Raw genomic sequence first — 17766 nt, 5'->3', positions numbered from 1 at the left:
CTTCTGCCGCCCGGGTTCAAACGATTCTCCTGTCTCAGCCTCCCGAGTAGCTGGGACTACAGGCGCGCGCCACCAGCCCTGGCTAATTTTTCTATTTTTAGTAGAGACAGGGTTTCACCATGTTGGTGAGGCTGGTCTCAAACTCCTGACCTCGCAATCCACCCACCTCGGCCTCCCAAAGTGCTGGGATTACAGGTGTGAGCCACCACGCCTGGTGATACATACTTTTTAAAATGTCCTCTTCTTTCTCAGACGAAAAATATTATACTATATTGTATATATATTGATTTACAGTATATAGATATTGATTTGCTTTATATATTGTATATATATTGATATCTATACAGTATCTATAGATATATACATATTGTATATATAGTATCTATAGATATATACATATTGTATATATAGTACCTATAGATATATACATATTGTATATATAGTATCTATAGATATGTACATATCTATAGATAGTATATGTATTGATTTACAGTATATAGATACTGATTTGATTTACTTTTTTTGTTTAGCAATATATCTTTGAAATCTCTCCATGTCAGTTCACAGAGATCTTTTGTACAGCTGCATAAGTACTCCATTGTGTGGAAGTAACAATCTAATCATTCTTTTATGCTTAAGCATTTAGGTTGTTTAAAAAATTTTGCAATTGCAAGCAATGCTGCAATGAGTAAATATGCTGATGTATATTTTCATTTTGTTGGATGTAGATTTTCAGGGTAAATTGTTAGACTTGGGATTTTTGGGTGAAATGATTAATGTATATATAATTTTGTTAGACATAGTCAAATTCCCCTTCATAAAGATTATATTGATAACAATGTGCTTCCTTACCAGAAATCAATGACACTACCTGTTCCTGTATGCACTGACATACTTTTTAAATTTTTACCAAGCTGATAGCAGAGAAACAGTATCTTCATATAGTTTCAATTTGCAATTTTTTATTACAGAATTTAAACATATTTTCATATGTGCAAATATATATATTAATTATCTGTTAATTTTTTTTGCCCATTTGACTATAAAGTTTTGGCCTTTTTCTTCAATTGTTGAAAAATGTTTCTGTATTAAGGATATTAACTCTTTATCTGTGATACACATTGCAAATAGTCTCCCGGCACCCATTCCCACCATTTGTTAACTCTGTTTAGAGTCTGTTTATCATATTTTTTTGTACCATATTTGTAGGTACTTTAAGATACTAAATTTTCTTTTATTATATCTACAGTTTAAGTTATAATTAGGAAACTTTCTATATCCAGGCTACAAGGGAATTCACACATGACTCTTTTTAATACTTGTAGGTTTCAGTGTTTGCACTTAGATCACTGATTCATTTGGAATTTATTCTTGCATAAAGAGTGAGGGCTGAATTTCATTTTAGCTCTAATTGGCTAACAAATTTTTCCTGAACTACTTGTCAAAAAGTCCATCTTTGCACCTATGGCTTGAAATATATGCTTTATCAAATATTAAATACCCATATGTGATTTTGTTTACTTCTGGACTTTGTATTACATTACTAGACTGTTTTTCTATTCATTTGTGAATGCTATAGTGCTTTAATTATAGATGCATGAAGAGTATATTTTAATATCTGATAGGGCTACCCCTCTCCACAGTATCAAAGCTCCATTCTCATAGCTTCAAGGAGTGTTGACTGCTAAAGTGTCATTTCGCCTCAAGGAACAGCGCCCCTGCCAAAGATTGCACTCTCTCAGGACTAGACGCTCTCTCTGGGGCAAACAGTATCCAATGACCACATTTTTGCTTCAATTTGGGACAGTTCTGAAGGGCATCCTACCAGAGCTCCTGTGGCTTGGCTGAAGCCTCTGCTGTAACTGCTTTGCAGTTTTACTTTTTCATCTCTCCAATTCTGCTTTTCTCTCATTCTTCTACATTTTCTTCTGTGTACTCTAATAAATTTTGTGCACATAATCTCTGTCTCAGGTAATCTGTTTCTTGGGAACCCAAACTAAGTCACTCTCTGAGACAGAGTTTTGGCTTTAATATTATTTCCTTTTTATTGGTAGAAGTATTGTTTCCTTTTTATTTTTATTATTATTTTTTTTTTTTTTTTGAGACTGAGTCTCGCTCTGTCGCCCAGGCTGGAGTGCATTGGCGCTATCTTGGCTCACTGCAAGCTCCGCCTCCTCGGTTCACGCCATTCTCCTGCCTCAGCCTCCCGAGTAGGTGGGACTACAGGCACCCGCCACCACGCCCGCCTAGTTTTTTGTATTTTTTTAGTAGAGACGGGGTTTCACCGTTTTAGCCAGGATGGTCTCGATCTCCTGACCTTGTGATCCGCCCGCCTCGGCCTCCCAAAGTGCTGGGATTACAGGCGTGAGCCACCGCGCCCGGCCGTTTCCTTTTTATTAAGTCTACAAGTTTTCCTTTGATTACTGCTTTAGTGTTATCGTATGGAGTCCGCTACGTAAGATTTTCATTGCCTTTGTTGTATAGAAATTTTATGCTTTTTGTTTATATTTTCCCCTTGGCCCTAGTTTTTTGTTGTTGTTTTTTTGTTTGGAGATGGAGTTTTGCTCTATTGCCCAGGCTGGAGTGCAATGGCGTGATCTCGGTTCACTGCAACCTCCACCTCCCGGGTTCAAGCGATTCTCCTGCCTCAGCTTCCCGAGTATCTGGGATTACAGGCACCAGCCACCATGCCCGGCCAATTTTTGTATTTTTTAGTAGAGACAGGCTTTCTCCATTTTGGTCAGGCTTGTCTCGAATTCCTGACGTCAGGTAATCCACCTGCCTCGGCCTCCCAAAGTGCTGGGATTACAGGCATGAGCCACCGTGTCCGGCCGGCCCTAGTTTTTAAAAGAAAGTTTTATAATTTTCAAGGGTCAGAAAATGTTGATTTCTACTATTTCTACATTTTAGAAAATATTGAGGATTTTTTGTGGGATTAGAGCAGCTAATACATGAATAATTGTCATGCATATATTATGCATACCCCATGGGAAATTTTCTCATTTCAGAGAGCAGACTTCAAAAATCTTTGCATCAGGCCTTTCACACATCAACCAATGAGCATCTGAGTTGTTTCCAGGTATATTTAATATTGTCAACAGTTCTATGAGCAATTATGCACATGTGGCATGGTACAGAGTTATAAGTACTTTGAGTGTGTGTGTGTGTGTGTTCCTAGAAGACAAATTGTTAATTTGTTACATTTTGTAAATGTTTAACTTTTTGAGATAATGACAAACCATTTTCCAGGGCTGTAAAAATGGATGCCTCTCTTGGCAATGTATTAGGGATACTACTACATATCCAAATAGTCAACTGCTGTTATTTTTGCACATTTCATTTTAATTTGATCAAGTGGAGGTTAATAGTATCTTGTTGTAGTGATGGTTTGTATTCCTTTATCACAATGAGGTTGAACATATCTACATATGTTTGGATTTGTACCTTTGAATTTTCTTCTAAATGTCAGTTTATTTATCTATTTGATTATTTCGTGTATATATTTGATTTATTTACATGTGGAAGTCTTGCTACATTTTTTTATCTTCCTCCTTATCTAATCATTCCTTGCAATTCAATTATTTGAATGCAGTTTAATCTTTCTCAGTGTAACTTGTGTTTTCAATTTAATCTGTAATTACTTTCATAAATATCAAGGTTTTCTTAAACCTGGAGCATTTTTGTGTCTTGTTTAACCAGTGTTTCCAATCTTTACTTCTTCCAATACATATTCTCATATATGTGGTAACCACTGCCTCTTGCTTCTCAAATTCTTTCTTCACCCTTCTCCTGCACCTTTTTCCCACATCAAAGGGGGCTGAACTCAGACTGTATTTCCCAAGCCTACTTCACATTTATCTGCAGCTCAGTTTAGTCAACAAAATGCAGTGGTGGGTGATAGGAGAGTAAAAGAAATAAAGAAGTCAGATAATTTCCACCACTGTCTGCCTGCTTTGGGCACCCTCTATGGGAACAGCTGCATGTTCTCCTTCACTTTAGCTCTCACTGGACAGGACTAGTACGATTAAACCTTAAGCCAGATAATTTCAATTCCTAGGCTCTAATAATGCTGTCTCTTCCAGAAAGTGTGATGGTACTTGCTTCTCTTTTCTGGGGGAGTTTAAGGATCTCTTCATGTACAGAAAGCATTAGTTTTTAAATGTGAGTTACATATTGGTAAAATGCCGAGATTGGATGTTGAGTAGCAAAAGAGGTAGACTTCACTTAGCTGTTTTTGCTCAGACTTATTCATCACCCATGCTCTTTTGTGCTCTACACTGCAATGACGTTGTTGTAAACTGCGTTTCCCAGACTCCCTTGTCAACTGACTTCTGGCTGGACTTAACCAATGTTAGGCACTGAATGGAGATGAAAGGGAAAAAGAAAAAGTGGAAACAGGGTATTGCTCATCCCTCCTGGGTTTCTGCTACATCTTAATGTGTCAAGTGCCTGACGGGTAAGCCTGCTGTGGCTTCAGGTTCTTCCAGGTGGCGGAGGCTTTTGGCCTTTAGTGATTTCCCGTTCTTGCTAATCTCTGTACCATTTGTCATATCAGTTTCTCTACCACTAGTGTAGCCAATTTATTGTATTAAATGTCCCAATCTTACTACCTAACTAGTGTACACAAGGTCCTGATTGATTTGTATAAATACTACTAAGAAATTGTAAATTTTGTTTTTGACATTTATGTCCTTGATCTTCATGGTGTTAATCTTTTTTTCTTTCTTAGACGGAGTTTCTCTCCTGTTGCCCAGGCTGGAGTGAAACGACATTATCTTGGCTCACTGCAACCTCCACATCCTGGGTTCAAGCGATTCTCCTGCCTCAGCCTCCTGAGTAGCTGGGGTTACAGGCACCAGCCACCACGCCCAGCTAATTTTTTGTATTTTTAGTACAGATGGGATTTCACTATGTTGGTCAAGTTGGTCTTGAACTCCTGACCTCAGGCGATCCACGCTCCTCGGCCTTCCAGAGTGCTGGGATTACAGGCGTGAACCACTGCGCCCGGCTCACGATGTTAATCTTTACTCAATTTCATGTTTCCCCTCTATAGGAATATTACATTCCTGGCTTCATTTATTAAATACCCCCAACTCTCCTCTGATCTGGCATAACCCTCTGTCGATATACCAGAGTTTATATATGTATGGGCTTTTTAAATGAACTCTTTTCATATTTTGTCAACTCAAGATTTTATATCAGTACCTGTTTTAATATACGAATTTCTGGAATGTCTAATAAGTCCTGCAAGTTTGTTGGCAATTCTCTCCTTATTTTTAGTAAGTGTTCTTGCTATTATAGTTCCTATGCACTTCCATATAATTTTACAACCAGTTTATCAAGTCCTTGGAAAAACACTTTTGGAATTTATGTTGAAATTACACTGAATCAATAGATTAGTTTGGGAAGAAATGATATAGTTGAGATATTAAGTCTTCTTTTCTGTAAACATGATATAGTTTTCCACTTATTTAGGTTTTCAGTTTCTATTTTGAAAACAAGCTATTTTGTCATTCTACCTCTTCTGATATTTTTAGAAAGTTTATAGTTTTTAATCTATTAGTTATCTTCATCATTACATTATTATTTAAGGGTTTGGTTATTGTGTTTCTTTGGACAATCTCTTTGTTTCCTTACTTTGAACAATAACAATGCAAGATTGCATATTCTTCCTCCCTACCTCGCTTCACTCTCACCTACAGCTAATTTTAGTCAGTAATTTTGCAGCTCTTAATGTTTACTTTGGTGTAGTTAATTAAGCTCATGCATATAACGCTTCTTCATTCTTAGTTGTAGTGGATTAAATAATGTTGCCCCCAAGTTTGTGTCCATCCAGAACCTCAAAATGTGACTTTATTTGAAAATAGGGTCTTTGCTGATGTAATTAGTTAAGATGAGGTCATACTGGATTAGGGTGAGGCTTAAATCCAATGACGCGTGTCTTTATAAGAAGAGAAGGCATACAGAGACACAGAGAAAAGGCCACATAACAACAGAGACAGAGATTGGAATTACGCAGCTACAACCCAAGGTACACTAGAGGTTTCCAGGAGCCACCAGAAGCTAGGAAGAGGCAAGGAAATATTCTTCCCTAGAGCCTTCAGAGAGGGTGACTGCAGACACTTTGATTTCAGACTCCTAGACAACAGAACTGAGAGCAAATTTTTATTGTTTTAAGCCACACAGTCTGCGACATGTTATGGCACTGCTAGAAAACTTGCTGATTTTCTCTCAGTACACACTCAGATTTCTGATGCACATCAGGTTGCCTTTAATTCCCTGTTACATCAAATTGGTACAATGAATATCTTATTTCTGTGAAGCCACTTATTGAGCTCAGCTGGAATTTCACTGAGGCACATTCCTGGGAATGGGATTTCTACTACTAAACGGCTATGCAAAAATAAACACGCATTTAATGTCACCGCTGCAAAATCTAAAACCTAGACTTTAAGATCTTTCCTTTATGAAAGAAAATGTAGAAATTCATATATGTACGATTTTTATCATGGTAAACAGAAGCAGAGGAAGGGCATCTAACTCACATTGGTCCGAGAAAAAATCCTGGGGGACGGTGACCTTGAGGTAAACCTGTAACGAATAAACTTGAGTTGAAGAAGAAAGGAGGATATTTCGAGCAGAGGAAGCTTTTTAAGTTTACTGTACTCCTTACTATTAATGAACATTTCTTTGCTATTCATGACCTAGAACTATTTTCAGCAAAGTCATAATCTTTTGCAGAACTGCCGTTTTCAGATTTTCGAAGCAACATGGGAAATCTGTTTCATAGAATCTTATAACAACTTTTTAATATGAAGATTAGCATATTTTTAGGAATTCTCTGCCAAGAACAAATTCAGTAGCCAATGTATAAATGCCATTTCAATTGAGTTTCTTTTCACGATTTTTTTTGTTAAGTCTTCCTCGTTAGTATAGTGGTGAGTGTCCCCGTCTGTCACGCGGGAGACCGGGGTTCGATTCCCCGACGGGGAGACGAAGCAGTTGCTTTTGATTACAACATAAACAATACCAATCTTATTGAGGGACTCAGGCCTTAATAAGGCCAGTCTTAGAAAGCAGCTCTTCCTGGTTTTGTTTTTATTATTTATTTATTATTATTATTATTTTTGAGACGGAGTTTCACTCTTGTTGCCCAGGCTGGAGCGCAATGGCGCGATCTCGGCTCACTGCAACCTCCCCCTCCCGCCTCCCGGGTTCTAGCGATTCTCCTGCCTCAGGCTCTGGAGTAGCTGGGATTACAGCTATGCGCCACCACACCCGGCTAATTTTGTATTTTTAGTATTGATGGGGTTTCTCCATGTTGGTCAGGCTGGTCTCGAACTCCCAACCTCAGAGGATCCGCACACCTCTGCCTCCCAAAGTGCTGGGATTACAGGCGTGACTACCGCGCCTGGCCCTGGTTTTGTCATTTGAAGTCGGATTCCGGCGTATTGGTTTATCAATGGGTTCACGCAGCAAGCGATCATCTGATGGAAGTCCACTGCCACTTTCTCTCTGGGAAGAGAGATCACCGAACGCGCCAGGATTCACAGTGTTTTCAGCTGGCTCTAGAAACACGCCAGGATCTCTAACTGGGAATTTTCATTCCTCGATTGTTTGGTTGGGAGCAAGAAATGCGTTTTTCTTTGCCTTAGTGTGTTCCAAGCGTGCTAGTTGTTGAGAATCGTTTGAGGCCTGCCTCCCACGGGAGTGACTTTGAGGCAGAAAGGGCTGAACTTTTGGAGCGGGTAGTGAAGTTTACATTTAGGCTGCATCACTTGCAAATTGGGCGATGTCTTGGGTTATTTTGTCCTCTCCTTTCATCTGTGAATTTAAGATAATTTGTATTTTAGGATTCTTGGGGAAATTAATAGGTAAATGATATGTGGAAAACTGATTAATAATCTATACAGGACAGGCCGGGCGCGGTGGCTCACGCCTGTAATCCCAGCACTTTGGAAGGCCGAGGCGGGCAGATCACGAGGTCAGGAGTTCGAAACCAGCTTGACCAACTGGTGAAATACCGTCTCTACTAAAAACACAAAAATTAGCCGGGCGTGGTGGCGCGCGCATTAGCCGGGCGTGGTGGCGCGCGCTGGTAATCCCAGCTACTCAGGAGGCTGAGGCAGGAGAATGGTTTGAATCATCCCAGCTACTCGGGAGGCTGAGGGAGGAGAATGGCTTGAATCTGGGAGGCAGAGGTTGCAGTGAGCCAAGATGGCCTCACTGCACTCCAGCTTGGGCGACAGAGCGAAACTCTGTCTCAAAAATAATAATAATAATAAAATAATAATAATAATCTATACAGGACAGTAAAATGTAATATCTGGGGTACAGGAGAGTAAAATGTAATATCTGGGGTTATCTTTTCTACTGGAAATTAATTATATTTCTATTAGACAAAATTTATTTGAGTTGGTATGGTCTAACGTCATTTGCATTACTATCAGTTATCTACAAGTCAACTTTTCTCCTGTGGAGTCCTCGAACAGTTTAACAAATAAAAATTTGGTCAAAAGTACACACTCAGAATCAAGTAATTTCCGGAAGTCCATTAGACAATGCCCAACACTTCACTGAAAAGACACCCAATCATTTCCATTGCCCATATCCAAGATTCTGACAATTTTTTGTAACACATGAAACTTTAAGTTGTTATGCACTGTTTCAAATCGAGTTAATGAGGTGTTAGCAGAGACAGAGACACCTTTAACCAGGTCACTTAGTTCTGTCCCTCTGTTTATCCAGTTGTAAATCTGGTCAGTGTATGTTTTTAACTTTAATACCACAGTTGGATGGGATATTTTAAGGTCTTACTCTTTCCTTATACTGTTTCTTAAGGATTCTTCATATGAACAAAGATGAGTGAAAATAAATGCATTCTCTGGCAGTTCTACAAGATCTTTCTTCCATCACTCCCTACTTGCTCTCCCTCATTTAGAAGATCTGTTGTTTGTGGTATGAAGAGACTTCAGCAGGCATCAGTAGATGCCATTAATATTTCAGGATGCATGTTGCTTCTGTTGCCCAGGTCTAACAAAAAGTCCACTGAGTCAACTGAGACAGTCAAAATCTGCCAGTACAGAGATATAGCCAATCTAAGGCTCAGCAATCCAAGTGACTGAAGGAACTCACACTGCAGCCTCGACCGCTTGGGCTCAAGCAATCCTCCCACCTGAGCCTCCCTAGTGGCTGGGACCACAGTCATACGCCACCATACCTAGCTAATTTATTATTGTTATTTTTTGTAGAGACAGGGTCTCACTATTTTACCCAGGCTAGTCTCAAACTCCTGTGCTCAAACAGTCCTCCTGCCACGGCCTTCCAAAATGCTGCGATTGCAGGCATGAGCCACTGCACTTGGCCCTCATTACTTTTTATAGCTTCATATTACACCATTATGTGTGAAAAAATAGTTCATTCAATAAATATCCTATGTTTGGTAGTTTAGGTAGTTTCCAGTATTTTGCAGTTTCAAATAGTCTTGCAGTTAATGTGTGTAGATAGTTTAATATTGTTGGAAATGTATTTTAACTATAAATATTTCAAAGTGCGAGTGCTAGGCTGAAGGATGAGTAAGAAAGCAAGACGTTGATTGGCCTGTGGCTTGAGGTGTCTGTATTTTATAATGCTAAAGGACTATCCAACTATTCTTAAGAGTGTCTTAGAAAGTGGTAATAATTTTGTCAAAGTTCAACATCTAATAATAAAGGAGATAATTATACAATTTTACTTTTGCACATGAGGGGCAATGGCCCATCCCTTTATTGTGAGGTCCTTTGTGAATGTTTGTATGCCTTTTTTTTTTTGAGACAGAGTTTCACTCTTGTCACCCAGGCTGGAGTGCAATGGTGCAATCTCGGCTCACTGCAAACCCCTCCTCCTGGGTTCAAGTGATTCTCCTGCCTCAGCCTCCTGAGTAGCTGGGATCACAGGTGTCCACCACCATGCGCAGCAAATTTTTTTATTTTTAGTAGAGACGGGGTTTCACCATGTTGGCCAGGCTGGTCTACAACTCCTGACCTCAGGTGATCCACCCGCCTCCGCCTCGCAAAGTGCTGGGATTACAGGTGTGACCCACCGCACTTGGCCAAATGTTTGTATGTCTTGAATGAGTGTGTGTGTCAAATAAGTCTCCGCAGAGAAGAATGTCATCAATGTAATATCACACCTGTATTTCTGGAGAAAATTGGATGCAGTTAAGATCTTGCCAGCAAAGATTATGTGCTATGGCAAGCCACATGAGATAACCCATGGTAGGGAGGTAAAGGTGTACTGTGTTCCCTCACAGATGCAGGCAAACTGAGAAGTTTTGAGGCATTGAAATAGCCACTAAACAAAACATAGTAGGCAAGTCTATGACTACAGAGTATATACCAGTTAGCAATTAGATGGAGTCAGTAATTACAATAATATTTGGTATAAGGACTTTAATGTGTGGGACCATGGAATTAAGGTTGCAATAATCTTCCATTAGGAGGCATTCATGCTTTTCAAGTTTAATAACAAGCTAACCTGGGCTGTTCAATGAGAAACTGTAGGGATAATCACCCCTTCTCTAAACAGAGCTTATACAATGGGCTCAATACTTGAAAGTCCTGTTTTAATTTATATTATACTGTATTAACTATTTTAATTGACAGGGGTAAAGGGGAGGTCCACTGGGTCCCATTTTGTCAAGTTAATTGTGACAAAGTCTTAATTATCTTATCTTAATTATTACTCATTGGCAAGGAGTGTGCATGCCTACCATGGACTATTTCAAGGCAATGTGTGCTATAAGCATAGAGAATGTAAGCAAAGCAATAGTTCTGATGGTTAAAGTGAGGCATACCTGTTTGTCTGCTATTTTACGTTTAGTAACTCCCCTAAGAGTATAAGGCAACTTGTTTAAATTTAATGGGATTCTCAGATATGGGGTACCTTGTTTTCAGTTAGTGGCATAACTGTAATTTGAGCAATATACTAGAGCTGTAGTAAGTAATTTAAGAGGAGCACTGGGTAAGAATGAATACAGGATGAGGGAAATGCAGTGCTTCCTAAAGAAGGCAAGGTGAAACAAAGACTGCAAGAAGTCTCTTTTACCCAAACATTTGTGCCTCCCCCAATAATGCCACGTGGCATAATATAAATAAAATTTTTGACAACACAGAATTTAAACCTAAGTTTTCAAATTCTACTAACAGATTAATCACCTGAACAGTCAAATATCCCATTACATGTAGCATTTTTAAAATCTCTTTTCTACCATCTGTTAATACTGATAAAGCAATTTCCACAATACTCACTTTGACAAGGCAAACGCTTACCTGAGCAGAAAAAGCCAGAGAATGTAAAATTTGGGAAGGAAGAAAAACCTGAATCTAGTGTTCCCAGGCTACAGAAAACTCATGAAATCTTAAAATTAACTTGGGTTCCATCTCCCTTTGTATAGCTTTCACCCTTACATGCTCAGAGCTATGCCTATACTCACCCTCACATCCATCTCATTCTTTGGCCAGAGGTTGCTAGTACATAATATTCAGAGAAGAAAGAAATGCAGGAGACTCGTGGGATGAAAGGGAGGGGAATGGAGGAAATGGATGAAAACAGAAGGAAAATAAATCAAGAATGAAGAATAAAATTGTACTTCTGTGTTGAGCTGAACCAATTTATGTGAATCCATAGGACTGTTTTCCTGGCAACTTATGCAAAGTCAGATTGCACAGCAGATGCATGCTGGACCTACAACACAGACCTCGATGGGTGAAACCATACTAACATTTTCAATACGGCACTTGTGGACTCCAAAATTATTCTGTTTTCCCCAACTCTGAATCCTCCAGGAGAGAAGAACAATGCAGTTTAGGTAAATCACAGCCACTGCTTTCTGTTTCCTGCCCTGTCCCATACTTGACAAAATCTAGCCTTTCATCATTTTCCATGGTTTTTATTTATTTATTTATTTAGAAACTGACATTATTGCGGGAAACATTGTGAAGTCTCTTGTTGTCTTGGTTCTTACCTCATTGCTTCCTTTTTTCTTCTGCAAAGGTGCTCAGCCATGTCTCATGCATGACTGAAGGCTGAATATGACTGTGGCAGCAAATATTACTTTTTCAACGTCTAGGTCATTCTTGCCTTTGAATGAGATGGAACTTAAGATGTGATGAAATGTATTAGAAGAGGACATGTATTAATATGGAATCTCTGATGTTCAAGGTGGTGCATTACCAAGTGATTCATTCAACTTTGCCCTTATGGATGGGAAAGGAAACACTTAAGTAGCAAATGAGAGGTAACAGAGAATGAAAGGTAGAAGAAAAGAGAAGACAAGAGGGAAAAGAAGAAGGGCCTAGGGAAAGGTGAAGGAGAGGAGAAAGGAAAAGTTAGCACTAGGATGGGTGTGCTAAAAAGGGAGAAGCACAAGAGACATGGGAGGTGGTCTTCTACGCCTGCAAAACCTTTGGAAGTGGGCAGTCATTCCACTTCCCACCCCCACCCAACCCTAAATAACCCAGGAAATCCCAACTGTGAAAGTGCAGAAAAAATGTCGAAGGGGACAACAGATTTAAATCCTCTGTCTTGTAAGTTATAACTTTCATTCTTCTTTCCCTATCTTTTATTTTTATTTATTTATTTATTTGAGGCTGAGTCTCACTCTGTCACCTAGGTTGGAGTCCAGTGGCGTGATCTTGGCTGACTGCAACCTCCACCTCCCAGGTTCAAGCAATTCTCCTGCCTCAGCCTCCTGAGTAGCTAGGACTACAGGCGCGTGCCACGACGCCCAGCTAATTTTTGCATTTTTAGTAGAGATGGGGCTTCACCGTGTTGGCCAGGCTGGTCTTGAACTCCTGACCCCAAGTGATCCGCCCACCTCGGGCTCCCAAAGTGCTGGGATTACAGGGGTGAGCCACCGCACCCGGCCTCTTTCTGTATCTTTTAATTCCTCTGAAGAGGAAACCTTGTTCACTCCAGTCATTACTAAATTGGACACATCTCCTCAAGTTCAGGAAGAAACATGAGTCCCCAGGTGATTGAGACACGCTTTGGGAGACCCTGAAAGTCTTTGAAAGCATGAATTCCTCTCACTCTTCTTTTTCTTTTCTTTTTTCTTTTTTCTCTTTTTTTTTTTTTTTTTTGAGACGGAGTCTCGCTCTGTCACCCAGGCTGGAGTGCAGTGGCGCGATCTCGGCTCACTGCAAGCTCCGCCTCCCGGGTTCACGCCATTCTCCTGCCTCAGCTTCCCAAGTAGCTGGGACTACAAGCGCGCGCCACCACGCTCGGCTATTTTTTTTTTTTTTTTTTTTTTTTGGTATTTTTATTAGAGACGGGGTTTCACCGTGTTAGCCAGGATGGTCTCGATCTCCTGACCTCGTGATCCGCCCACCTCGGCCTCCCAAAGTGCTGGGATTACAGGCGTGAGCCACCGCGCCCGGCCGCTCTCACTCTTCTTACAGATCTCATCCTTTGACCAGCTGAATTAGGACCTAAGAGAGAGCTGGAGGTTCAGTCTGGGGAACAGCAGACTTTTGACCTTTCAATACCTGTTTCTGCTAAAAGAATACTTTATTTTTATGTCAGGTGCATCCAGGGACTGACGATTCCTGCTGCCCTGCCTACTGAAGGATTTCTGAGGTCCACTTTGAAGGCGGGAAAACTTCCACAACTTTTCAAATACAGGGTTTCTCTGATAGAAATCTCGTTAGCTCTACTCCTCTTCTCCAGGGTACATATGACTTAGTGAAAATGAAGGAACCAGTGATAAAGAATATGCACTTACTATGCTCACAGTATAAACCGGGTAAAAACCTTGACTTTTTGTCCAAAACCCATTTCAAGTCTTATAAAAATCTATAGAGCTGTACACAGAAAAAATGCACAAAAGCCCATTTCTGGGTTTTTTTTTTTTTAATAGATTATATCTTAAAGTGAGGACAGTAGTTTTGTAACGAAAGCGCAAAATGGATGACTAACAATTTCGAAGTCTGTCTGGATTTTAGTTTATAAGTGTTTCTTGCAGGGTTTTGTGTACTACCAACTCTCAGAGTCTACATGCTACTAGGGTCCTCCCAAACTGCAACACCCTCTAGAATGAGGTTGTTATCCCCCACCAGGTAAGGGAATTTGAAAGTGGCTGTCCAATAACTCCAGTGCAAGTTACTTGTTATCTTTACCATAATCCTAGATTTGCTTACAAATATGTGATTTAGTTAGTCTCTGGAGGGTATAAGTAAGTAAAGCTAGTAAAGTGTACGGCTGTTTTGCCGCATGTGGCAGAAGTTTTCTGTTTTGACTTCTCTATGTGGCAGAAGTCAAAACTACACTCAACGCCTGGACAGGGACTTGAACCCTAGACCCTCAGATTAAAAGTCTGATGTTCTACCTACTGAGCTACCCAGGTTCTTTTGCGAAAACTTTGTTCATTCTTTAAATAATGTAATCCCATCAGTAATTGGATCGCCAAGAAAAGCTGCAGGAAATCCATGGTTTCAGAAACTACCAGGGTTGTGGCTCAATCACCTAAGCCATTTTAGCACCAAGCAGATAATTTAACCTCCACACTGTACTTTCATTAAACAGCCTATTAATGTGCACAATTGCAGGGAGAATGAAGATTATTCCTATATTGCCAAAGGGAGTTCGTTGCTCTGGGCAGAGGGATCCTTGGAGACCGAATTTGCAGGCTCCCTTGCCATCTTGGAGAGAGGAACCAGGAGGAGGAGACCGTTTTAAGGAACGATTGGCCTAATTGAGGAGAATGCTCGAGAGAATTAAAAAATGTGGAAAGAAGATGAAGGTTCTCTGTTGCCCCATTTGGTATTTTTCCCACACTTTCAGAAATGGAATGTCTAGGTTCTTCAGAGCTAGGAGGAAATAAAAATACAAGTCCTCCTCTAATTTTCTCTTCGCATTTTGTCTGGAGCCCCAACTCATTCAAAGACAAGAATGGCCTGAGAGTTCAGGAAATAGTGCTCATGGTTCGTTCAGTATTCATTAATTCGTGAGACACTTTGAGCACCTGTAAAGAGGGACCATGGGGACAGAAACCCCACAGCAAATGTGGCAGAAGAGGAAGACAGGAAGAGAGTTGTTCCATGAGGAGCTGTGCCAGACCTGGGACTGCCTAACCCAGGACTATTTATTTTTGAATCAGTAATTCTATTATTTAAAACATTAGGCCGGGCTCAGTGGCTCACGCCTGTAACCCCAGCACTTTGGGAGGCTGAGATGGGTGGATCACTTGAAGTCAGGAGTTTGAAACCAGCCTGGCCAACATGGCGAAACCCGGTTTCTAATTAAAAAAAAAAAAAAAATTAGCTGGTCTTGGTGGTGGGCACCTGTAATCTCAGTTACTCGGGAGGGTGACGCAGGAGAATCGCTTGAACCCAGGAGGCAGAGGTTGTAGTGAGCCAAGATCGCACCATTGCCCTCCAGCCTGGGCGACAGAGCGAGACTCCATCTCAATAAACAAATAAATAAGCTTTTCTTTTCTCTTTTCTTTTCTTTTTCTTTTTTTTTTTTTTTTTTTTTTTTTGAGACGGAGTCTTGCTCTGTCGCCTGGGCCGGAGTGCAGTAAAGCCATCTCAGCTCATTGCAAGCTCCGCTTCCTGGCCTCCTGGGTTCAGGCCATTCTCCTGCCTCGCCCTCCCAAGTAGCTGAACCTACAGGCGCCCGCACCACTCCCGGATAATTTTTTGTATTTTTTGAAGTAGTGGGCAGAAGGGGAGGCTGAGGTAGGAGAATGGCGTGAGCCCGGGAGGCAGAGCTTGCAGTGAGCCTAGATCGCGCCACTGCACTCCAGCCTGGGCGAGAGAACAAGACTCCATCTCAACAACAACAACAAAAAATTACCCCCACTTCCTGACAGTATCCAAAGCATGGCAAAGCCCTACTTTCTTAAACCCTCTCCCAAATCACCCCGCCAAAGTCTAAATTTTATAATTTTTTTTCTAACACCCTATTAGTGAGACACCCGTGGTTTCCACGGTGTGTGTTCTCCCTCACTGCAACATGTAATAAACCCAACTTGTTCAACTCCAGGTGTATCCCTGGAGGCCTTTGATGAGAGTGCGTTGGCACCAATTAGTTTGATGTATTTGTCTGTCTCCCTCCACTGCTCTACTTCTGTATCTTTGGTACCAATTACAGAATCAGAACCTGGCTATGCATTCAACAAATATTTGTGAAATGAAAGAATGAATGAATGAATGAACAAATCAATAAATTCAGCTTTGCCCACAGGAAAGCAAAAGGCTACATTCCTGAGCAGGGCAGGCCAAGAAAGCAGCAAATCTTGCCATATGCCTGGCTTCCAGAAAGGTTGGGTTAGCGCAGCTGGAATAAAGCAGGCTATCATTAGAACATTGCCCTTCTTTCAGCTCTTTTTGGACCAGTGTGGTTTAGAAATCCTTTCCCTCTTTCTTCTTTCCTCTGTCCTTTCAATAAAAATTACATATTTACAAATTTCTACATGGAATAATAGTAATAGCTCAGTCTTAAAATCTAGGTCTTAAAATATAGATAAGGAGAGGACTATAAGTTCCTATTTTCAGTCCTTTAACTTCTCTGTGAGAGTAAGTGGCAGGCATTTTGAGAATTCTTCCATAATTCTGCATGTCTTACCGTCTCCATTGTCCTCACCAGACCTTCTTCTTTTTCTTCACCTGCTGGCCTTTTTCTTTCCTTCCTCACATACCTTCTCCCCATCACTTTACTCTACCGGCCTAGTGGTATGGTGGGTGAAGTAAAGAGATCGATGTGATATATTCTAAGATAAGAGAGATGTGAGAGGCAGAAGAACAAGAACAGTGGTTCTCAACTAGGAGTGATTTTGCCAAAGTCTAGAGACATTTCCAGTTGTCACACTGAGGAAGGGTGCTACTTGCATCTAATGATTAGTTATCAGGGATGCTGCTAAACATTCTACAGCGCATGGGACAGCATCTGCAACCAACTCAGAATTATCTAGCCTAAAATGTCAATAGTGCTGAGACTGGGAAACCCTGGATTAGGAAGAACCTCTCTCTTTGTTTTATAATCACTATTGAGTAATAAGTCATTTATTTGTTTCCTTTGCTATTGCAACAAATTACCACAAACTTGGTAACTTAACACAAATTTATTCTCATACAGTCAGAAGTCCAAGATCAAGCAGGATTTTGTTCCTCCTGGAGGCTTCAAAAGAGAATCTGTTTCCTTGCCTTTTCCAGCTCTTAGCGGCCACCTGTATCCCTTGATTCAAGGCCCAGTCCTCCATTTTCTTTTTTCTTTCTTTCTTTCTTTCCTTTTTTTTTTTTGAGACAGAGTCTCACACTGCCGCCCAGGCTGGAGTGCAATGGTGTGATCTCGGCTCATTGCAACCTCTGCCTCCCAGGTTCAAGTGATTCTCCTTGCCTCAGCCTCCCAAGTAGCTGGGATTACAGGTGCCTGCCACCACGCCCAGCTAATTTTTTTGTATTTTTAGTAGAGATGGGGTTTCACCATGTTGGCCAGGCTGGTCTCAAACTCCTGACCTCGTAATCTGCCTGCCATGCCTTCCCAAAGTGCTGGGATTACAGGTGTGAGCCACCGTGCCAGGCTAGTCCTCCATTTTCAAAGCCCATACATCACTCTATCCTCTGGTTGCATCGTCACATATTCTTTTTCTCTCTCTCTCACTCTTGACTTCCCTTTTATTATATTGGGCCCAACTGGATCATCCAGGATACTTTTCTCATCTCAAGATCCTAAACTTAATTACTTTGCAAAATCTCTTTTGCCATGTAAGGTAACGTATTCACAGGT

The 17766-nt window shown here is 40.7% G+C and overlaps 2 non-coding genes across 2 annotated transcripts; one reads left to right on the top strand and one right to left on the bottom strand.

Moving 5' to 3' along the window:
- The first annotated feature begins 6921 nt into the window (after positions 1 to 6921).
- TRD-GTC3-1 (tRNA-Asp (anticodon GTC) 3-1) lies at positions 6922 to 6993 on the top strand. The gene has a single exon. It is a non-coding gene; the product is annotated as a tRNA-Asp (tRNA).
- A 7317-nt stretch (positions 6994 to 14310) lies between these two features.
- Positions 14311 to 14383, bottom strand: TRK-TTT9-1 (tRNA-Lys (TTT) 9-1). The gene has a single exon. It is a non-coding gene; the product is annotated as a tRNA-Lys (tRNA).
- Between the last annotated feature and the right edge of the window lie 3383 nt (positions 14384 to 17766).

Source organism: Homo sapiens, chromosome 6, assembly GCF_000001405.40.
Source record: "Homo sapiens chromosome 6, GRCh38.p14 Primary Assembly".
Lineage (NCBI taxonomy): Eukaryota > Metazoa > Chordata > Mammalia > Primates > Hominidae > Homo > Homo sapiens.
Note: the sequence above shows the minus strand (reverse complement) of the source record. Positions and strands in the feature narration are given on the sequence as shown.